Below are 23871 nucleotides of genomic sequence, written 5' to 3'. Positions count from 1 at the left end.
GTCCATCTTTATAGCAATTTGCCAAATTTGGAGCAGTGTCATACCATCTAAAATAGCTACGACTTCATCTGAACATTAGGTGCACAGTATTGATTACTCATTTCAGTTTAGAATTTAACCAGTCATTATAGAGGCAAAATATGCAATTAGAGAAAATAACATTTTTATATATGAATAAGGCTTGGGTAAACACTGTGATTATCCCAAATGATGCCTCACTAACTTTTCTGACCTGATATAAAAAAAAATCTGCTTTATTTTTGTAAACTATTCTTGCATGAGGGCATTTAGAAAACAAAGTAATTGCTAATATGAAAAGGCAAAATTCAATTCAGATATGTGTCTAGCAGTCATAAGCTTCCTAACTGTTTAAATCAGGTTTTTCCTTAAAAGAAGGATGCAATAAAGAGTTTCTACTTTCATATCATAATGTAACTTTCATAATTGTTAGTGTAATAGGTAATCCCTCACCTTCAGCACCTGGTGCTTGCTCTCTCTTCCACGGAGGCTTTTCTTCCTTGTATACTTCCCAGGACAAACAGAACTGACAGGAGTACTACTTCACATTAAACTCATTTCCCCCTAACTCCACCTTTAGTCTTGAAAGAAAAGAAAAAAAAATGCATCTTTCTTAACCTCAGTGGACCTAAAACTACTCCCAGGTAAGCTTTCAGAAAGGTGTAAAATTGCCTCTGTCTTTGTCTCATAACATTCATCCTTTTTTTTTTCTTTTCTTTCTTTCTTTTTTTTTTTTTTTGACACTGGCAGCTCTTCTCTTTCCCTCTGAATAGAGTCCCAAAAATTTGCCAAAGTTGCTAATCTCGTTTCCCTCTTAAAGGGAGCACGCTACAATTGAACCCTTCTCTCCGGCTTTTCAGTGTTTTCCTGATACTTTCACGGACATCCTTAGGCAAAATAATTTTTCTCCCTCCAAATTCAGTCTTGAAAACATCAAGGCAGAACATGCAGCTCTTACCATTTTTAGCATCCATGGTATAATAGGCCAAAGGATTTCCCAGCTCAAGTCAAAGTGAAATTTAAAACTGCAACATCAAAATCATCTTGAGTTACTCCTGTGCAAAACAAACAAAAATAAAAGTATTGTAGCCAATTTTAACAGCTTAGTAACTATTAGAATATGTGTTTTTCACAGTCTACCTGTGCTAGATGGGATGAAGGGATTATAACGGGGGACTTTAGGGAATCCTGCCTCTCTATTACATAGAAAATGCAGTATGAATAAATACTATTCCTGACATAAAGACCCCTTGGAACTAACCAGGGAAATTCATCACTAAATATGTGTTCAGCACCTTCTCTGCTGCAAAAGGACAGAAAGAGTTAACTTCCCTCCAGTGAAAAAGAATCAATTTTCTTTTCCTCCAGGGATCAGGCCCACTTTACAATAAACTCTTTGTTTAATGCACCACTTACAAGGATGGACTCCACTTAAAGCCACAAACTCCCGTAAGGCATGTATGGGTTTATCTCTGTCCTCTATCTGCCTGCACTTCACTCACCCATCATCCAGATCAGTTTTGATCTGTTACATCCTCTCGTTTGTCAGCACTTCAACCCAATTTGGGGGGATCCAATTGTATAATTTCAAGATGTGACCTAGGGCTGCGAAAATGCTTACTGGAAGGTCCAATGTAAAATATTTTCACAAATTTTGTCCACAATAGCCACCATGCTTTGGAGGTTTCTATCTGTCTGACTTGTCATTGAACAATATTTTACAAACAGAAGAAGCTGCTGTAGGATTCTCAGTGTCCACCCTCTCAACTGGTCATAGGAGGCATGAGAATGGGATGAAGTATAATCAAAGGTCCATATGATTTCAAATTAAAAAGCAGATATAGAGATACAATTATTTTCTTGTTAAATGTGTCCAACCTAGTTCCTTCAAGGGAACTACACACACGGTGGGAGTCTGAGAGTTAGAAAACACTGTTCATAAATCGAGAGCTACTGTGTGACTCTGCTCTTTTCTTCTGCCAAAAAATAAATAAATAAATAAATAAATAAATAAATAAATAAATAAATAAATGAAAGGTTTTATTTGAAATGGCATTCAGTTGGCATCATTTTGAATTCCAGGGGTACCAGCAACTGCTATACACAAGCCTCTTTCAAAACACCTTCCAAAGTGAATGAATTTTCAATTAATACAAGTTACAAGTGAACAAATTTGAGTGTGTGGAAAATGTATTGTTGAATAATGTAACAATTTGAGAGGTACAAGTTACAACTGAAAATTCGGCCCCAAGCTCACCATGTTTCCTGATGTGGTTCATTATTGTGATCATTAACTTCAACTTAGCCAAAGGCAAGCATTCAGATTCTGTTTAGGTCTATACACTCATCCTTTTCTTGACTCTCCAACGATATAAATAACGCATTTTTTAAAAGACAGTTGTCTTTAGGCCAAATGATCAATTGTAACCAAATAAACCATATCCAATCTGACCCATTTCTCAGCCTACCCAATGAGCAAAGAAGTTTATGGAGGCCTTTTTGTCACACTAACTAGATGAAATATTTATTAGTCTCTTATTTAGTATTTCGTGTTAATTTGAGCTTTTTCCCAACTGTTTACCATTAAATAATCGAGGCTAGCACTTGTTGATTGACTGGAATTTTATATTTAGCATTTGTGTTTCTTAGGATTAAAACTCAGCCTTAAAAGTGCTTCGATGCTTTCGTAATTTTCTTGTCGCCATTAATTCCGCCATGAGAAAGCATTTGCAATGTTCCTACTTTTGTAATTTTTTACATGTTGCTCCGTAGAAACTGATGGTGGCTATTGAAAGACTTTCCACTGGGCCTGGAAGCTGCGGGGTGGAGGGTGAATAACTCCTCCCTTCTCAGGCCCAGTCCCAAGGCTCAAGACCACTTGAGTCAGCAGCCTGCGTCAGCAAGATAGCAGAAGCAGGAAGAGGGCTGCCCGGAAGACACGTACCCGCTGAAGACGGAAAGAGAGGCCGTCCGCGTACTGCGTAGCAGTTACATCAGACTGAGACACTTCCTGTTTACAGGAGACTTTATAAACCCCTGCCGCATACTCATTTGGTGCTGACGCCATTGTAGACCTCAGCCCGTCTGTACCCAGGCGCTCATTAGAACAGCGTGTTGCTCCACACCGCCTTGTGGTGTTTGTTACCGCGCTCTTGGGGTTCGAACCGATACAGCAGGCTTGCAGCTATTTCATTGGTTTAAACTTTTATTTTTTTATTGCAAATGAAAATTACTATCAACTATCATTACAAAGCTGTAGAATATGAAGTTCGAAGGAAAACGCTGAATCAGGTAAGGTCTATTCTGACATATAATAATGACAAAGGTAGTAAAAGCACAGCCGTTTCTTGGCTTAGAAATGACTTAGAGTTCTTTTATAGATGAGGCTAGAGAAGAGAGGCAATGCACTCAGGTTGGTGAAGCGTTTCCATCAACGTTTATTAAATACCCACAGACACTGAGGAAAGCAGCGAGAGACTCCCTGATTTACTTCATCCCACGAGGAGGTCTGAGAGAGGGGAAGTTAGAAGGGTCAGTAACCCCAACCCTGATAACCACTTTTCTCGTATCTTACTCATTGTCTTAAGCTCAGATACAGAAACATTTCTTAATCTACTGTGACCAGTAGGATCTACTTTTAGGCCTCAGCTTTCTAAATCTTTGTATTTAAGGAGAAACTTTTAATAATTTAGTACATTTCAAATAAGCTATAAACACAGCAAGGAACATTCTCAACATAACAAATGCACATCCTGCTTATTTGTCCCCGTTTCCAGTATACAAAAGCGTCTCAATCAGACTCATCCATTTTGAAGCAATTCCTCTGCCATTTTGCCACCTCCTCTCAAATTCAGCGACTTACCAGGTAAACTCCTCTTGTAGATTGCTCTTCAAAGGTAAGCTCATGCCGAGGGTACAACACAGTGGTTAAGACACTGGTGATAAAACTGGATCTTTCCTCTAGCATCTACTTAACATGATATGTTAATATGAAGTGTGTGCTTTGTATACTTTGAGATGCACCACAAAAAAGGTCTAAAATTTCTTCAGAAAACACAATTCTGAATGTCTGTGGTGTTTGAGGTAATGAGTGCCTTCTTTACCATGTAAAGGACCTGAGGTAGTTAACACATGAAGTCATCATTATTCAAGTTGCTTTCCTGACAACTATAAGATGAGATAAGTTTTGGTGGAAATTTGAGAGCTGATGGGGTGGAGAGTAGAAGAGATGGCCTAATTCTGTATGCAGGTCATTGCCTTTGAAGACAGGCTTAGGTGGAGCTCTGAGGGAGGAGGAGGAGGAGACGGGAGGATGGGACCCAGGGTAGATGAAGAGTAGGCCGGTAGAGGAAGGTGCAGTTGGTTGGTACATATGGGTGGGCTTTGGGTGCTGAGGAGCAGAGAGAGAGAGGTATTAAGAGTTAGGACAATGCCAGGCCAAATTAGTCTATGTGGCTATTTTGCTCAAAAACCTGTTTTACAACTTCTTGCCCTTGCCGTAGAATTATGCAGGAGCCTGAGGCCTGGAATCCTCCTAAGACATTCAGACCCGCTTAGGTGGAGCTCTTCATTCGGCCACTGAACTCTTGCTTTACCCAGAACCTACTAGATAACTGTCCACGCTTCTCCAAATACTCCCTGACTCTCTAACTTCAGTTTCTCCTTTGGTGACAAGTCAATGGCATTCTCAGCTTCCCTTCTCATCCCCAGAGCAGGGTGTCCTACACCTTTTCTTCCCTTTCTGATCTCTTCTCCCTCTCAGCTCTAACCCCTAACCCTAATCCTCCATTTTGGTGAATGTGGATTTTACCCCTCTCCTGATATAACTTTACAATTTATCCTCCTGAATCAATTTAAGAAAACCTTGTGCCAGTTTACTATAGAAAGGGGTTATAATATGTTATGAGCAAACAACTAAATGAAAGCTGGAGCTGGGAAGAAATCCAGTGTATCAGCATCACTAGTAACGTTATCTGGAGATCCTGTTTCTAGCCCAGTTTTTCCTTAAGTAGTATCTACATCTGATTATAAATCCTACCTCTCCCCAAATGCTGTTTTATAAAGAAGTAGAAGAAATGTAGAATCTGGGATTACGTTTCTCCATGGTTCTGGATGTCAGGATTGCACCAAAACAATATAAATTATAATTTTAAGTTACCGAGTTTAGAAATCAAATTCCCTTAATATTAGGTTGGTGCAAAACTTAAAATCACAATGATTTTGCACCAATCTAATAAATAGTCTAAAATAAAATGGTTTTCGGTATTGCAGAGAGGGCCCGAATCAGGAGGCGGACCCCAGTTCCAGGTCTGCCCTCAACTTCCTGGGCATCTTGTGGAAATAACTTTTCTCTGAGCCTCATGGTACTAATTCATGAAATAAGGTTATGATACCTATGTCACCAAAGTACTGTGAAGTTTGAATGAGATAATGAATGGGAAGCCACCTTTTAATGTGCCAGGCACACAAGAGTCATTCAATAATTATTGTTTGAATCTGAACCCCATTGTCAAAGGCATTCAAACCAGGGGGACTCCATCTTGGAGTAGGAGCTGGGTAAAATGAAGCTCAGACCTGCTGGGTTTTATTCCCCAGGAGGTTAGGCATTCTTAGTTAACAGGATATTTACAGTTAAGAGAATAAGTTAATCGTGTTTACTGAACAGACCTACGACCTAACAGACCCAGGAAATGTCCTGATGTCCTGATATCTTAAGAACAAAAGCATTCTTAAACTAAGAATCAGTTTCACTTTAAAGATAATAATATAAATTCTTGCAGAAGACTGTAGTTACACAAGAATTAACAATTATTTGTCAAAAGCTCTTGTAGTAAAGCACATCTCCCCCATGATTTTTTTGCTTTGTTATCTTATATATATAAAAGCATTGCACCCAAGGTGGGCATGTTCCTCCTCTTGCTTTTGGGAATGCTCTGCCCCGTCTATAGAGTAGCTATTCTTTATTCTTTCATTCCTCTGTTTTCTATTTTTCTTTTTTTTTTTGAGACGGAAACTTGCTCTGCCTCCAGGCTGGAGCACAGTGGTGCGATCTCGGCTCACTGCAACCTCTACCTCCCGGGTTCAAGCAATTCTCCTGCCTCAGCCTCCCGAGTAGCTGAGACTACAAGTGCCTGCCAGCACGCCCAGCTAATTTCTTTTGTATTTTTAGTAGAGATGGGGTTTCACCATGTTGGCCAGGATGGTCTCGATCTCTTGACCTCGTGATCCACCCTCCTTGGCCTCCCAAAGTGCTGGGATTACAGGCGTGAGCCACGGCACCTGGCCCATTCCTTTGTTTTCTTAATTAACTTTTTTTCACTTTACTCTGTGGACTGGCCCCGAATTCTTTCTTGCGCAAGATCCAAGAACCCTCACTTGGGGTCTGGACCAGGAGCCTTTTCCAGTAACACCATGAGAACTGAGTTTCATCCTCTGTAGAATATCAGAACACTTGCTTTCACTCTCTCAAAGGGTGCTCCACTGGCAGGACACTGGCAGAGAGCCTGTGGTTCCCAGTATATATTTCTATCTAAGCTCAGGAATAGTGCCACTGTTTCCTACCACAAAGCAACCTGGGCCACTTTTCTGTCCTTTCACTAGTTCCTCAAAGCCCCAGGGACAAGGTGACTTTTATTTCTTTCCTCTCCTTTTTTTTTTTTTCTTTGAAACAGGATCTTGCTCTGTCACCTAAGCTGGAGTGCAGTGGCATGATCCGAGCTCACTGCAGCCTTGATCTCATGAGCTGAAGCCATCTTCCCACCTCAGCCTCCCAAGTAAGTAGCTGGGACTGTAGATGTGTGCCACTATGGCTGGCTAATTTTTTATTTATTTTTAGAGATAGGGTCCCGCTGTGTTGCCCAGGCTGGTCTTGAACTCCTGACCTCAAGCAATCCTCCAGCCTCGGCCTCCCAAAGTGTTGGATTACAGATGTGAGCCACTGTGCCCAGCCAACTTTCCTTTCTTTTTACAACCATCACTACATGGGAGATCCCCTGCTCCTTGTTGTCAACACCCATATCTGAACACACACACACAAACACACACCCATCTATTCAACTCAGTTTAAAAATTTTATCACTGCTTACTCCTTTGCTATGTATTACTTTAGGAACGAGCCTAAAGGAGACAGGACTGACAAGATTAGCAAAGTTAACAGGCTAAAGAAATCCACAAGGTGATTATCATGCTTATTCTTTGTCTTAAATTGTGTGTACATGTTTTACTAAGACGGTTCTGAAACTTTCTCTTATTCTTATCTTGAAAATCAGTCTGCCCATCCCTGTCTTGGTTGGATGTTAGCCCAAGTTGCTTAGATTTTTACCTTGAGCTGGATCTGGGTTGGCAAAGAAGTCAGATAACACGAGATCTGATGTTCCTGTAAAAGACCACAGCTCAGCCTCCTTTCATTGTATAAGGAAACCACTTCCCCCAACAGCCTCTACATTCCCCTTGGGAGTAGTTGCTACTAATTATTTTCATTCTTGTTTTCTTTTCATTCAGTTTTTTTTTAAAAAATGAGTTCCTACTATGTGACAGACCCATCCACTTTTAGGCACCGGAAAACAGAATTGCAGTTTACATTGGAGAGGCGGGTATCAACAAACATGAAAACCATACAAAGGAACAATCTCTGATAGCAGTAACTATCATGGAGGACACAAAAGAAAGTGATACTATGGAGAAGGGCCTGGAGCAAGGAGGGAGGTTACTATTGAACCAGGGCCATCCAAGAAGGTTTGGCCTAGGGCCTGACATTCAAGTTCAGAGTGAGCTCTTCATTCCGAGCCTTAGGTTAAAATGCTCTCAACTCAGACCTTGCTCCCTATCTTATTTTGTTTGTTTGAGGTACAGTCACTATCTGGTTGTTAAGTGAGAGCACTATTGATAGGTGTGATTTGGCTGCAGCCTCCCTCTTTCTAAGCTAATTTTAAGACCTGGTTTCCATAAGAAGTTATCATTACAGGAACGCATCTGCATTTTATCATTGAATGCAGGCTTTCCTGATCTCTCACCTGGCTTCACCTGGTTTACATAACAGCCTTTCAACTCATTTATTGCCTCTTTCATCCAGAGCAATCATTTCTAAACCTGAAATGTAAGTATCTCTCCTTCTGCTACCGTGGTTACAGTCCAAGCTCCAGAATGTGGTCTAACAGCAGAATAGTCAAAGGGCAGGAATATGAAGATCAAAGACTTGGATTCTCATTATTATAATTTTTTTTTTTGCCACATCTTAGCTGCATGGAATCAGCATCTGTAAGCCTCATTGTATTTATTGAAATCATGGGGACAATAGTCAATTTGTCTCAAAATGTTTTTATGAGGAATAAATGACATAAAATGAAAGCGCATAATAGCTAGCACCTGGGAAGCTCTCTTTTATTTATAGTCATCCTTATCCCTTAACTTCAATAAATCTCTCTCCTCTGATAGCTTATCATACAGGGCCTTATCTAGTCTGGGAGAGATATATGTCCAAGCTATAATCTGAAAGAGGAAGAGGAATTAACTCAATAAGAAGAGGAAGCAAAAATGTTTCCCAGGCAGAGAAAACAATATTTGCAAAGGCTGCATGACTCATGCAAAGGTTTCTTGCCTCTCGTTTCTGCTCAAATCAGATTCTATCTTCTTATATTTGATGCTATAAGCTAAACTGTTATCTTTTCAATATCTTTTCAAAGGTGCATAGGACATGCTTTCCAAAGACCTGAGTGTGGGCATGGGTTGAAATGAGGGAGAATTGAGGCTAGAAAGAGAGAGCCAGAGCATAGAATATCTCGTAGGTAAAGATTTGGATATTTCTCCCAAGAACAGTGAAAGCTGTTGAAATATCTGAACCAAGGGCATTGCATGATAACTTTTGCATTTGAACAAGATCATGCCGGCTGTCCATTGGAAAATCAGTTGGGGGAAATTTAAGAGCAGAAGGAGGGAGGTAAACCAGAAAGCTGTTTCAACAATGAGGTAAGAGATGATCATGACTGGGATTAGGATGAGGCCAGAGAAGGTATCAGAAGCCACCTCTCATTACAGTGCTTTCTCACCCTTCATGTGCGGCAGGGCCACATGATCTAGGAGTGGCCAATCAGAACTTCACGAACTAGGCTGAATCTTGAGGAAGCGACGCAGAGTTACTGACTCCTGTTATTTAAGGGAATGGCAGGCAGTCAAGAGGCCAGTGGTGAGGTGGTGTACATCTAGGTGTTGAAAGAGAGAGGCAAGTCACAGCTCCCTACGAGGCAGTCTCTGAGACAGGATTGTTATTTTGCCTTTCCTCTTGTTTCTGCTCAAATCAGATTGTATCTTCTTATATTTGATGCTATAAGCCAAACTGTTATCTTTCCAATAATGTTTTCTTCTGCTGGTGTTAACCAGGGATAATTTCTGTTGCTTGAACAATATCAACAACAAAAATCAGTGAAAATTTAATTACATGTACCTTTTTAAAAAGTATTCTGGCCAGGCGTGGTGACTCACGCCTGTAATTCCAGCACTTTGGGAGGCCAAGGTGGGTGGATCATCTGAGGTCAGGAGTACGAGACCAGCCTGGCCAACATGGTGAAACCACATCTCTACTAAAAAAAGTAAAAAAAATTAGCTGGGCGTGGTGGCGGGTGCCTGTAATCCCAGCTACTTGGGAGACTGAGGCAGGAGAATGGTGTGAACCTGCGAGGTGGAGCTTGCAGTGAGCCGAGATAGTGCTACTGCACTCCAGCCTGGGTAACACAGCAAGACTCCTTCTCAAAAAAAAAAAAAAGTATCCGATATGCAAGCATATGGTCTCATGACTCTCCCTTAAATCATCATGTCAACTACCAGCAAGCCCTTTAGTTCACTTCTAAGTAGATATTAAATCTACTCAATTCTCACTGTTGTCAAAACCACTGTCTTCAGTAGGCCATGGCAACAACTTCCTAAGAGGTCTCCTATTTTTGCCCTTCCTACACGTCAGTCTATTTTCTATTCTTTTCTTTTGAGACAGAGTCTTGCTCTGTTGCCCAGGCTGGAGTGCAGTGGCATAATTTTGGCACACTGCAACCTCTGCCTAACAGATTCAAGGAATTCTCATACCTCAACCTCGTAGCTGGGACAACAGGCATGTGCCACCACACTCAGCTAATTTTTTGTATTTTTTTTTTCAGTAGAGAAATGTCTAAGCAGCAAAATGTTCACTAGGGGTTTCACTATGTTGGCCAAGCTGGTCTTGAACTCATGGCCTCAAGTGATCTGCTGGCCTCAGCCTCCCAAAGTGCTCGGATTACAGGTGTGACCCACTACACGCAGCCCTCTTTTAAAACAAAGCCAAAACATGTCACTCTTTGCTTAAAACTCTCCAGTTTCTTTCCATTGCAATTAGAATAATTTGCATAATCTGTATGGTAAGCAGATTGATACATCTAACATCTGGCCCTCTCTCTAAAGTATTTCCTACTACTCTTCTCACCGTTCTGTGATAGGTAGAGATCTTCACCGTATCTTCCTTTTTCACTAACAAACACTGGGGTCAGAAAACTGCAGCCTGAGGGCCAAATCTGAGTATTGAGTTGTTTCTGTAAATGAAGTTTTATTGGAATACAGCCAGACCATTGTTTAAGGTCTGCGGCTACATATTGTTCCTGAAAATGTTCAGGAAATGCCACCCCAAAATATGCCACTTTGGTAGCTGATTACATTAAACTGGAGTTTCTGTGGGACAACAGATGCAGGCAGAGTCTTTCTCTGGGATCCTCTTATCTGCCTAGGGACAGATCCTCCAAAAAGAACTTCTTAATTGTCATTGATACCCCTGCCATCCTCCAGTTTTATCAACCAGAGATTAACTCATATCCCAGAAGGGGTAAGTGGAAGTTCATGCCACACCCAGACAAACTTTGTCACAGACTGTCACCTCTTCTTCTATGGACCCCATCATCTTTCCCCCAAATCATTTATACCCCCTAACTTGTCTGCATCCCCACTCTCTTCTCCCTTATAAAGAGGGGGTAATAAGCTTTTAAGTCTAACTGGTTTCTTGAGTATTCACTTTTCTTTCCTATAAAAGAAAATGCACTTGATAAATGCATATACACTTTCTCCTGTTAATCTGTGATACAGTTTGGATATCTATCCCTGCCCAAATCTCATGTTGAGTTGTAATCCCTAATGCTGAAGGTGGGGTTGCCGTGGGGCCAGGTGGTTTGGATCATGCAGACAGATCTCTCATGGCTTGGTGCTGTCTTCATGACCACGACCAGTTCTTGCAAGGTCTGGTCATATAAAAGTGTGTGGCATCTCTCTTTCCCCCCAGACACTTCTCTCTCTCTTTTGCTTACTTCTGCTTTCACCATGTGGAGTGCTTGCTCTCCCTTCACCTTTCTCCATGATTGTAAACTTTCTGAGGCAACCCCAGAAGCAGAAGCGGGCACTATGCTTACTGTCCAGTCTGCATAACCGTGAGCCAATTAAACTTCTTTTCTTTATAAATTACCCAGTCTCAGGTATTTATAGCAATGCAAAAAGAACCTAATATAGAAAATTGGTACTGAGAGTGGGGCATTGCTACAAAGACACGTGAAAATGCGAAAGTGGCTTTGAAACTGAATGACAGACAGAGGGTGGAAGAGTTTGGAGGACTCAGAAGAAGACAGAAAGATGAGGGAAAGTTTGGAATTGCTTAGTGTTACATGGTTGTGACTAAAATGCCAATAGTGATACAGAAAATGAAGTCCAGGCTGACACGGTCTCAGATGGAAATGAGGAACTTATTGGGAACTGGAGCAAAGGTGACTCATGCATGAACTTGGCTGCATTGTGCCTCTGCCCTAGGGATCTGTGGAAGTGTGAACTTCATAGTGATAATTTAGGTATCTGGTAGAAGAAATTTCTAAGCAGCAAATTGTTCAAGATATACCAGGGCTGCTTCTAACTGCCTATGTTCAGAGGCAAGAGCAAAGAAATGACCTAAATTTGGAACTTATATTTAAAAGGGAAGCAGAGTGTAAAAGTTTGGAAAATTTGCAGCCTGGCCACATGGCAAAAAAGGAAAGGCTTTTTGGGGAGCCAAATTCAAGCAGGCTGTGGAGCAACCACTTGCTAGAGATATGTGCATAACTAAAAGGGAGCCAAGTGCTAATATCCAGCACAATGGGAAAAGGCCTCAAAGGAATTTTAGAAATCTTCTAGAAAACCCCTCCCATCACAGGCCCAAAGGTCTAGGAGAAAATAGTGGTTTTGTGGGCAGGGCCTAGGGCCCTGTTGCTTTGTGCAGACTTGGGACACTGCTCCCTGCATCCAGGTCACTCCAGCTCCAGCCTTAGCTCAAAGGGCCCCAGACACAGCTTGCTTGAGTTGCTGCTTCAGAGAGTGCAAGCCATAATCCTCGGTGACTTCTATGTGGTGTTAAGCCTGCAGGTCCATGGAATGCAAGAGTTATGAGGCTTGGTAGCCTCTTACTTGATTTCAGAGGCTGTATGGGAAAGCTTGGGTGCCCAGACAGAAGCCTGCTGCAGGGGTGGAGCCTCCACAGAGAACCTCTACTAGGGAAGGGCAGAGGGGAAACATGGGTGGGAGCCCACCTACACAGTCCCCACTGGGGCACTGCCTAGTGGAGATGTGACAAAGGGTCACCATCCTCCAGACACCAGAAGAGTAGATCCACCAGCAACTTCTACCTTGCACATGGAAAAGCTACATGCATTCAACAACCTGTGACAGCAGTCTCAGGGACTAAACCCTGTAAAGCCACAGACGTGGAACTGCCCAAGGCCTTGTGAACCTAACCCCTTGCACCAGCGTGCTCTGGATGTGGGCCATGGAGTCAAAGGAGATTATTTTGGAGCATTAAGATTTTATGACTGCCCTGCTAAGTTTTAAACTTGTGTGGGGCCTGTAGAGCTTTTATTTTGACTAATTTCTTCCTTTTGGAATGGGAATGTTTATCCAACGCCTGTTTGTACAATGCCCCTATTGTATCTTGGAAGTAACTAACCTGTCATAGGTGGAAGGGATTTGCCTTGTCTCAGATAAGACTTCAGACTTTTGAGTTAATGCTAGAATAAGTTAAGACTTTTGGGAATTTGGGGGAAGGAATGATTGTATTTTGCAATGGGAGAAGGACATAAAATTTGGGGTGGTCCAGGGCAGAATAATATAGTTTGGGTATTTGTCCCCACCCAAATCTCATGTTGAAATGTATTCCCCAGTGCTGGAGGGGGACCTGGTGGGAGGTGTTTTGTGTTTTCATCATGGGGGCGCATCTCTCATGGCTTGGTGCTGTCTTTACGATTGTGAGTTTTTATGAGATCTAGTCATTTAAAAATGGTGGCACCTCCCTCCTCAATTCTCTCTCTCACTTGCTCCTGCTTTCACCATGTGATGTGCCTGCTCCCCCTTCACTTTCCACCATTTTGTAAGTTTCCTGAGGCCTCCCCAGAAGCAGGTGCTGGCATTATGCTTCCTGGAGAACCTGCAGAACTATGACCCAATTAAACATCTTTTCTTTTTTTTCAGCATTTATTTGTTTATTTATTTATTTTTCTTTTTTTAAATGATACATTAAGTTCTTGGATACATGTGCAGAACATGCAGGTTTGTTACATAGGTATATATGTGCCATGGTGGTTTGCTGCACCCATGAACCCGTAATCTACATTAGGTATTTCTCCTAATGCTATCCCTTCCCTAGCCCCCGAACCCCCGACAGGCCCCAGTGTGTGATGTTCCCCTCTCTGTGTCCCTGTGTTATTGTTTTCTTTAAAACAGGTTTAAATCACCTAGGTTTTAAATTACCCAGTCTCAGATATTTATAGCAATGTAAGAATGGACTGATAAAATCTGCCTCTTGTCAGCTTATTTTATAGACTCAAGTTCTGAACAATCATAAGTTCTACTGAATTACTGAACTTGAGGCTAGAGGGAAAGTCTTCCCTCCCCTACATCACACAAACTTACAAAGTTGAGTAGCTGCATCAGAGGCCATGTGGTCCACAAAGCTTAAAATATTTACTACCTTAAATATTATCCTAGTTTCTTTGAGTCTTTACAGAAGAGTTTGCCACACCCTGCTCTAAAGCCCAAGGATGTTTCTGCTACTGATTAACTTTTTTGTTGATTAGATTGTTCTGTGAAATAAATTGTAAGCTCCACGAGGGCCATGCTTGTCTTATTTACCACTGTATCCCTAACAGCTAAAGCAATATGTGATATATAGGCACTTACTAATTATATTTTGAAGAAATAGATGAATAAATAATTGAATAATACAAAGATGATATTTATCCTCAAGGAAATTTCATCACTCATAAGAGAGTTAGTACTCCTAAGACTATAAAAACATCAGTGTTGACAGTTCTCCAAACACCCATTTATCCTACATCTCCCTGTTGCAGATACCAGCTTATAAACAGAAAACACAAAGGTGATACTACTTGTTTTTATGTTATCGTCTTCCTCAGGACTGATAACGGAGTTCAGTATGAAATTTTATATTATTATTATTTTTTCAGCTTTTAAATTCTGGGGTCCATGTCGAAGTTTGTTATTCAGGTATATTGTGTGATGCTGAGGTTTGGTTCAGGTATATTGTGTGATGCTGAGGTTTGGTGTGATGCTGAGGTTAGTTTTCCAAACCTTGAAGCCCTGCCCGCTCTCCCTTCTAGTAGTCCTCGGTGTCTGTTGTTGCCATGTTTATGTTCATGAGTATCCAATGTTTAGCTTCCACTTTTAAGTGAGAACATGCAGTATTTGGTTTTCTGCTCCTGTGTTAATTCACTTAGGATAATGGCCTTCAGCTACGTAAATGTTGCTGCAAAGGACATTATTTTGTTCTTTTTTATGGCTGTGTAGTATTCCATAGTGTATATTGACCACATTTTCTTTATCCAGTCCACCATTGATGGGCACTTAGGTTGATTCTATGCCTTTGCTATTGTGAATGGTGCCTTTATCAACATGTGAGTGCATGAGACTTTTGGTGAATGATTTGTTTTCTTTTGAATATATACCCAGTAACAGGATTGTTGGTTTGAATAGTAGTTCTGTTTTAAGTTCTTTGAGAAATCTCCAAACTGCTTTCCACGGTGGCTGAACTAATTTACATTCCCACCAACACTGTATAAGCACTCCCTTTTCTCCGCAGCCTCGCTAACATCTGTTGTTTTTAAAGTTATTAATAATGGCTATTCTCACTGGTGTGAGATGGTATCTCATTGTGGTTTAGATTTGCGTTTCTCTGATGCTTAGTGATAGTGAGCATTTTTTCATGTTTGTTGACTGCTTGTATGTCTTCTTTTGAAAAGTGTCTGTTTGTGTAAAAGTGTTTAATTAAATTTGTTAAGGCTATAATTGAATTACTAGAAATGTGACTCCCCCAATATTAATGTGTTATTATATTGTCACTTTAAAGATATATTCAAATGTATACATTTAATTTGAACTATTTCTGGAGGTAAGCTAGCTATGTGTGACAATAGTCTATGAATCTGGTACAACCTCCAATGCAGCAATTCCGTTCTCAGCAATTTTTTTCTAAAGAAATTATTACGGATGAATACAAAGACACGACTACATTGGAGGGCTATTTGTAGTGACAAAATCTGGATGTGAATTAGCTATTTTATAAATGAGAGGTTGATTTCATAGGTAATGGTACAATCATATGATTACTCTATAGCCATTAAAAGTAATGGAGTAGAAGAGTGACGGGAAAAAAATGTGGGCCTTTTAAATGAAAGTAAAAACAGGGCTATAAAAACTCTCATACAATAAAATTTTTTAAGTTTAAATATATTTAAAAATGGAGAAAAAACAGAATCATATACAACAAAATGTTAATTTTGATGTGATTAGTTTTCCCTTTTTTCTTCTATTCACATACTTATATTCTCTAAAATTTAACAGTAAACATGCATGACTTTTGCAGAAAGAAAAAAGGTGTTTTCAGTTAATACTTTGAAGAATATTAATTCTGAGGCTTTGTAAAGGGGAAACAAATCAATAGCAATCTAAAAGCATTTATTAGACTTTTTAAAAGGCAGCTATAAATAGCCCAGCAAGGCAGACAGTCGTACAGACATTTAAAGTCAGCCATCGATGCTGTAATTTTTGCTGGAACAATTTACAAAAACAAATATAGTGACATTTAATTCATCTAAGTAAAACCAGATCTCATTTAAAACAAGGAGGTGGGAGGGAGAAGAGGGAGTCAGATCACATTTGGCCACTGGAGAGCAATTGGAGAAATCATGAAAACAGTGGGTAACAAATCAGGGATGAAGCAGAGTTAGCATTAAATGGGCACCAAATGCATTTCCCCTTTTTGGTGCCTCCTTTTGTCTCTTTCCCATTCCAAACCATATTAAACTGTTAATACCTTTATTTCTTGGCTTGTGTAACAATGTCTGTTTTAACAATCTTTCTTTTATCTTAATATTTTCAATAACTTTGGAAAGAAAATGTTAAAAATTGTGCTATTCTGCAACTTTCCTACTTTGAGGTCTCTATTGCTAGATGTACAAAACTCAAGTAAATGGTCCTTTAAATGAATGAGTTCTGAGGAGGGCAATTATGTATTCATGATGCAGGTTTGCCTAAATAGCTGTCCCCAGCTATTTAGGCATAACCTCAAGCTACATATTCATAACCTCCAACACCTCATGTAGATATCCCTACAAGCAGTATAGTATAGTGGTGTTTTTTAAAGTGTAGTCAACTATTTTCTTTCAGATTCTAAGAGAACATCTTGCACTTGTAGATTCTTGAGTTTCACCCCAATCCTGATTTGATTGGTCCTCAATTGATTCTTATGCATTTTGAAGATTGAGACCTTAAGTTTCAAAAATTGAGACCTAGATTCTGATACATAAGGATTTAAGTTTAAGTACCTGCTTGATTGCTAGTAAGACTGTGCACGTTTGCACCAACTAATCGACGTCTTTGAGCCTCTGTTTGCCCATCTGAAAATGCACATCAGTGGATTGCTATGAGGATAAAAAGAAGCTGTGTTTCTAAACCTCCTTTCATACTAGGTGGTATTGTTTAGTTTTTAATCACAGTGCATGTAGCTATGACTACAGTCTTAGCCAAACCAAATAACGAATGGAAAGTGGAATTATCTTATGTAGATTAATATCATCTTTCAAGTGTAGACCCAAATGGGGAGAGAGTTAACTGGCATTTTTTTCCCCCGCCATTAATTATAAAATTGGCAATTTCCCAGACTTGTTTCAGAATTCTGTTTTAGCATCTAATTGCCTTGACCTTCATTACCTTCAAGGAGACATGATAGAACTGCCCAGAGGAACTACAAGTATTGCTAAGAATAGAAGTCATTTTGTACTAGTTACCTGCTTTGTGTTTCTCAACAGAATGATAACACTCTCCATGGTGTTTCTGAATGCCAGGTTACCTATGACTAATCTTTAGTAGCTCCCATGTAGTTTTGTATGGGAGCTGCTTTGGTTGAACCTAACTGTGCATTTCAAAACAAATGTAATTTGTGGAAGGCATATGTGTCATGACTTTTGACCTTCTCAAAATTTGGCATTTACGGTATGCCAACAGAAATCCAACTCCTGTCTCTCTGTTGCTATTTTCCCATTTGTGAGTACTGCCTGCAAACTGTCCTCTTTGGCAATTTACAGAGAGTCTATTTATTAGTCTATTCAATCTGCTGGGAATCACTGAACTCACAGATGTGATTTACTCGTAGACCAGAAACTCCCTGGATAGTGTCTACAACTTCTTTGACCTTTAAGTGATTGGGTTTCTGTTTTAAGCTGTTGCAATGAAAATTCAGGACATCTTTATTGGAAAGGAAAATAAAGTAAGTGTTATTGGCTGATGTCTCAATTCCCATTTTCCCTGTGGATATAGATAAATTAAGAAGGCCTTAAAATATAAGACAAAAGATCTTCCTAGGAAGATCCAGATAGATAGCATCTTGAGACAATACCTTAAGCTATATGTTGCTTGTCACATGAGATTAACTTTCTATTAGTGTGTGCCTTCTCAAGGCCTCTTAGCAGGGAAGCATTACCACTTACTACAGATAATAGAAGATTTAGAGAGCTGACAGGAGTTAGTGTATTTGATAGAATCTTGAATTTCCATGTTTTTTTTAATACTTTCTCTTCCAATCACACTTTTTATCTCCATGATAGTGCTATAGAAGAATAACGAATCATCCTGTCCTGATTTGGAAGGTTGGAATTTTATTATCTATGAATGTCTACACACACAGCGGCAACCCAAGTTAGTAATATTTTCCTTAAAAAGAAAAGTGATACTTTCCCAGTATTTCTCAGTCTGGAATATTCATGTTGATGGGCAACTAAGAACTGAGTTTGGGGAAGATGGGAGCACTTTTCCCTGAAACCATGATGGTAAGGTGTTTAAACCTTCACGGGAAGAGTTTCTGTACCATTCAGCCAAATACACCAATGACAGTAAGGGACTGGAAAAAACTATGGACACATCTTTGTGTATTTTTAAATTCAATCAACATTCAACTATATCTGAAGTATTGTGAAGACTATGATTAAGAATTATGAGCAGTATCACTGCCCTTGAGAAGTTCAGTCTTGCCAAGTAAACCACAGCCCTGCTGTCAGTACAGCTCTTTGAGAATATAGACTTCTATGGTGGAATAATATCAAAGTGAGAAAGACGCTGCTAGATCCAAAAGAAAGGTGACTAGGGTTAAGACTTTTCCCAGCATTTAAGGAACAAAGATGCTTCCCTGGTATTTGGCTTGGGTGGTTACTTCTTGATTTTCTAGGCGAATGAAGGAAGTTGGTGCCATAGATAAGCCATAAAAGGAAAATAGTGAGAAATCAATTTGCATTTGACTTGGAATAAATTATTTGCTTTGAAAAGAATGCCCCATTAAAACTGATTTTTTGTTCCCTTGAAATCAAGCTATCAGATGAGAAAGATGTAACCAAGGAAAACATTCTGGGTTGTTGAGCAGAAGGAAGTTTAGGAATTTTAATTTTAATTCCTTGGGCTAATTCATCCGGCAGATAATCTGCCTATGAAAATTTGAGTGGTGCTTGCATTGAACAAGTAGGTTTCCTGCATCCAGAACAAAATTATTTCTTAGCCAAGAATGTGTATGGTATGGCTACATGGAGAAAGATTTCCAATATGTATTTAAAAATCAATAATTTTAGATACTGATTTAATTAAATATTATTTATAACAATTTTAACTGTAGACCACATGGTCTTGTTTTATTTGAGGTTGATTAGAGAAGGGGACAGGGATGAGATGAATATTTTCTCTGGTAATAAAATTACCTTTTGCTTTAACTTAATCAAAATGCCATTTTGTACACATAAATGATAGATAATATTTATGAAAAGATCATTCAACTGATGGGTTTGGGAGTACTGCAGAACTTTAAAACATAACTGGAAGGATTATACTATAAACCAACACTATTTTTTTTTTTCATTCATAGAGTTCAAGACAAGGGAAAGAAATACTGGCATTTTAGCTGAGAATTATAAACATCATTGGCATTTGAACTCCCAAATCTCATGTAATTTTCCCCTAGAAACATAGACTGGATGCCCTCATTAAAAAAAAAAAAAATTAGAAACCAGTCCTCAAAGACAGATTGTCAACAACTTGTGAATATGCCCATGCCAGCTCCCTTATCCAGAAACATTTACGAGAGAAGACATAATAGGCTGAAGGAATATTTGTCCTGTTATTCATATTTGGCCAAATGTCGCTAAAACCTTGTGAAAACCAAAAGGAGTGCAAGGCCCTGCCCATCAACCCCTAGCCCTCCAGGACTCATACTTGGTTCTCGGGTTCTTGGTCCCAGGGGCACCTGAGTGTGGCAACACATCATCTATGCTGTGCCATCAAGCAAAGGGGGTCTCCACTTCCTCTCCTGAGCAGGACCACTCTGATGTATATTCTTCTCATTTGAATCAAAGAATGTTCTTTGTATGAAAGCAACACATTGAGATTGGTGACCGTATTAGTTAGTTTTCACACTGCTGATAAAGACATACCTGAGACTGGGTAATTTATATACAGAAAAAGAGGTTTAATGGGCTCACAGTTCCACGTGGCTGGGGAGGTCTCATAATCATGGTGGAAGGCTAAAGGCACTTCTTACTTGGCAGCAGCAAGAGAGAATGAGAGCCAAGCAAAAGGGGTTTCCCCTTATAAAACCATCAGCTCTCGTGAGACTTACTACCATGGGAACAGTATGGGGGAAACTACCCCATGATTCAATTATCTCCCATCTGGTCCCTCCCACACACATGGGAATTATGGGAGCTACAACTGAAGATGAGATTTGGGTGGGGACACAGCCAAACCATATCAGTGACCTTGCCTGTCTGCGAGCATATGTACCCCATTCCTTTCCCCAAAGATATTTTACTACCAGTTTAATAGAACAGCACTAATCAAAATCTCAGCTATCCAAGCAGTAATGGCCAGGAAGTCTAATAGTGCAACCAAGTATTCAGCGTGGTACAACTTTGAAGGTCCAGCCCGCAGACAATCTATGATGCTAATCAAGGTTTTTCTGTGTGCTCCCCACTTCTGCTTTTAGTGACACGTTCCCCTTAGCCCAGCTCCATCTCCTCTTTTTGGGGCTCAGTGCTGTGTCACTCTCCCATAATCCTAATAGCCATCTTGAAAAGCAGGTTGTATTATATCTTTTGTGTTTTGCAAATTATATCTTTTGTGTTTTGCAAATTAACAAGCTAAGCAAAAAAACTAGCATTGCAACCCAGATCTCTGTAACTGGTGTGAGTGGTGCATAATGGTTAATGTCACACTCATACCCTCAGATGTGTATATCTTTTGTATACAGCTTGAACCATGTTTTCTAGAATTGAGGAGATTATATCCTATTCCCTGCAACTCCAGACACCAGGGTTGTAGTGAACTATTTCAGCATCTGAAGTGATTTTTAATTTTTCCTGAGATGCATCTACTCACTCTCCTTATAATATCAGCCCTTGATATACACACTGGGGGACACAAGTACAAGTATCAAGTGACTGTAGCAGACCTCCACCAGACCAAACCATTAAGAATCTAAAACATCGGCAAGGAAAGAGGTCAAAGGAAGCTGAGACATGGGAGGGGTGCTCTGAGTGAGAGCTAATTGAGTGATGCCTTTTCATGCAGAAGAATGTTTCCAGTTGTGGGATTACGTGGCCAGTGGGTAGACTGGAGGGAAGGCTTGTTGTCTTCAGACACCCTTTGGAATGAAGCCAAAGTGTTTTAACACAAAAGGAAAAACAATCCAGTGTGGGTGATGTCACAGGGCATCCTGAGGAAAGCAGCAAGCATGAAGCTTCCTACTGCGTGGATCCAAAGTACACAGGATTATCTTGGCATTAATTCCTTCTGCAGCCAGAAGCTGGACTCTTACTGAAGAACTAGCTCTCATCATAAAGACTGGATGCCGGAAATGAGTTTGTGTGTGTGTGTGTGTGTGCGCGCACGAAGTGTGTAGGTGTGTAAGTCTGGTTCCTGACCTGAGAGAGATCAACATTCCAGTCTCCTCGTAGGCTCTAGGTTGTCTGTGAAATCACTGTGAAGGACCAAAGGCTGTTTTCACTGGGTAGACAGAAAATCGTCCTGTTCACTTCAAGGACACTATCAAGCTGTGATCAGAACATTTGCCTTTTAATATAATAATGGTGATTATTAGATATGGGAAGGATAGGGGTACAGAAGAGTGACCCAAAACAAAAAAACCCTTTATGTCAGTGGCAGCCCTGCATTAATGAAATGAAGAGACATTCACACCATAACAGGTGACGATGGAGAGTCTGTTTGTCATGTCAAATTAGAGATAAAAGAATGCCTGAGACTGGGAAGCAGAAAAGCACATTTCCATCTTCGTGTCTGGAGAAACTTTACAGGATTAAAGTATGTATTGTCATCACAATGGAGAACTGTTTAAGTAGAAGCAGTGCCTTCCCCTTTGAAGAGGGTATATCTCCTGACATTGTAGGTGCAGATGGCCAGGTTTCTGGGTCTTTTAGCCTTGGGAGATCCTTGCTGATGGAATACAGCTTTCACAGCTCCATGCTAGCAGATTGTGGGGCTGGGAGCTGAGAGGATCATCCCAGTGGCAGGGAGCAGTTATTTAGGGAGAAGATAGTAAATCTTCAACTAAGTATTATTAGATCTGACACATGTGGATTCAAAGGCAATGTAGTGGCCAGACTTCTAAGGTCGAAAGCCAAGAGTTTAGGATTGCCCACTGGAGTGTGGCATTTTCTGTTCTTGGGACGCATCCAGCTATGACTGTGAAAGGACGGAAATTCAGTTGAGCTGCTGGAACAGGGAGTAAAGAGGGGCAGGGCTTATTTAATCAGCTTAACAGGCCCCCAGTGAGAGAACAGGGGGAAGAGAAAGAGGGGAAAACCCAGTGTTGGGGAAGTTAGGAAAAGGGATAATAGGCAGTATGTAGATATTTATGTAGCTAAGAAGTCTGCATCAAATAGGTATGGCAAAAAAAAGTAACAGATCCAGATATGGAGCTGGGGTTTAGGACCTCCAAACTGAGAGAGGATAATCAGATAACAATTATCAGCCAGAGAGAAACACTTCTTACATGCCAGGCATTTTATGCCCATGAAATATGTTTAATTCTCCCAGTTACCCTGAGAACAAGGGATCAATATTATCCCCTTTTTAAAGATAAAGAATTGAATCTTAACTAGTTTGGGATATTTATTCAGGGTCACAGGATAATACATGTTGGGGAAAAAAAGCCATGAGAAATTTATCTCATTTTATTACTAAAGTTTTAAGCCTTAATAATAAAAGGAACTGTTGGACATGGAATCAGAGTGATGGTGGCTATTTGGACCTGAACTCAGGAAAAGACAACACTCAGTCACTAGGACTGGAGCACAGGTTCAGAGCAGAACTCACTGCAAGAAATGCTCGCTAAGTCACCTGAGATGAGTTTTAGAGCCACTCACTTAGGAGTTCTAGGAATGACCCATCCCACGGCCCAGAGCAGAAGGACGTGCGTGTGGAATCAAATGCCCTCAGCTCTAGGGATTGGAGAAACTCACAAGCAGGGAAATTTAGGCAACTGATTATACTAAACAGTTATCAATGTCAAGCTCAGAGGGCTAGCAAAAACGGGCAAGGAGAAAGGGAGGGAGGAAGGTGAATGGGGTTAAAAATATATCTTTCCCAGAAAATCAAGGCAAAGATTCAACAAAAATAGTTTTCTAGCCACAGAGAATTCCCAGTGGAAGTAGTGAATGCTGGTTTATTGGGAGATATTTCACATCTGAAATGTAATGTTTGATTCCTGGTACCTCTTTTGTTTAATAGAGGTCACTATAGTGATGAAGGAGTGGAACAGGACCCTCCTTCAAAAGTGACAGTGGTAGAAGAAGCCACTGGGACACGGCCACTTTAAAGCAGATATGTTGATGTGGTCATTTATAGATATCAACATGCAAAATGACTGATTTGTCTTTTAAACTATGCACACACAAAAGAATGTCCCTAGCCTTAACTTTCATCTTGACCCTCATTACCCCTCATGTCAGCCCATCCCAACATACCTTCCCTGACCTCAACTGCGTGACTGACCAGCAGAGATTGGGCTCACCAGACGGGCAAGGCCCAGGGTGGAATGTGGATGTCTGAAATCAGGAAAAAGAAAAAACAGAGAAGAAACTATTAAAGGTGATATATACTCGCATATTCAAAGCTTTTATTGAACACCAGCTATGTTCCCTGTACTGTGATCTAGGTATGCTGAGATAGTCAAAACATGGCCCTGGCTGCAATTGGTTCACACCCTTGAATGCAGTTACGAATACTCTGTATTCATGCAGTAGAGACAGGGGCCCTGCTCTATGG

General features: G+C 40.3%; 1 protein-coding gene and 1 long non-coding RNA gene across 24 annotated transcripts in view, besides 2 other annotated features; one reads left to right on the top strand and one right to left on the bottom strand.

The window, feature by feature from the left end:
* The window catches only part of KCNJ16 (potassium inwardly rectifying channel subfamily J member 16), a 60384-nt gene that overhangs the window by 3657 nt on the left and 32856 nt on the right, over positions 1-23871 (bottom strand). For 10 of the 23 annotated variants that reach the window (XM_017024609.2, XM_047435953.1, XM_047435952.1 and 7 more), the window contains 2 exons: positions 23571-23651; positions 977-1073 (listed from right to left, as the gene is read on the bottom strand). In XM_017024609.2, the coding sequence (XP_016880098.1) occupies positions 977-988 (12 nt within the window). In that variant the 5' untranslated portion in view covers positions 989-1073; positions 23571-23651. Of the gene's footprint in view, positions 1-471; positions 600-976; positions 1074-3880; positions 4804-7339; positions 7394-21509; positions 21592-23570; positions 23652-23871 lie in introns of those variants that run through there. The other 13 variants (XM_047435951.1, NM_170741.4, XM_005257337.5 and 10 more) reach the window with 7 other exon arrangements.
* Positions 2540-3739: an enhancer, noted in NCBI's record as "BRD4-independent group 4 enhancer chr17:68124354-68125553 (GRCh37/hg19 assembly coordinates)". NCBI's record gives its function as "activates an origin of replication core promoter dependent on BRD2, P300/CBP, MED14 and CDK7 cofactors, and independent of BRD4, by STARR-seq in HCT116 cells {active_cell/tissue: HCT116}" and the evidence as "EXISTENCE:reporter gene assay evidence [ECO:0000049][PMID:35650434]".
* On the top strand, positions 3072-6720 carry LOC124904052 (uncharacterized). Its single transcript, XR_007065890.1, has 3 exons — positions 3072-3309; positions 3795-3883; positions 6690-6720. It is a non-coding gene; the product is annotated as an uncharacterized LOC124904052 (long non-coding RNA).
* Positions 11407-11456: an enhancer, noted in NCBI's record as "active region_12660". NCBI's record gives its function as "activates an Ori minimal core promoter by ATAC-STARR-seq in GM12878 lymphoblastoid cells {active_cell/tissue: GM12878}" and the evidence as "EXISTENCE:reporter gene assay evidence [ECO:0000049][PMID:35858748]".

The sequence above is a fragment of the Homo sapiens genome, chromosome 17 (assembly GCF_000001405.40).
Source record: "Homo sapiens chromosome 17, GRCh38.p14 Primary Assembly".
Taxonomy (NCBI): Eukaryota; Metazoa; Chordata; class Mammalia; order Primates; family Hominidae; genus Homo; species Homo sapiens.
This window is presented reverse-complemented; position numbering and strand designations above follow the sequence as displayed.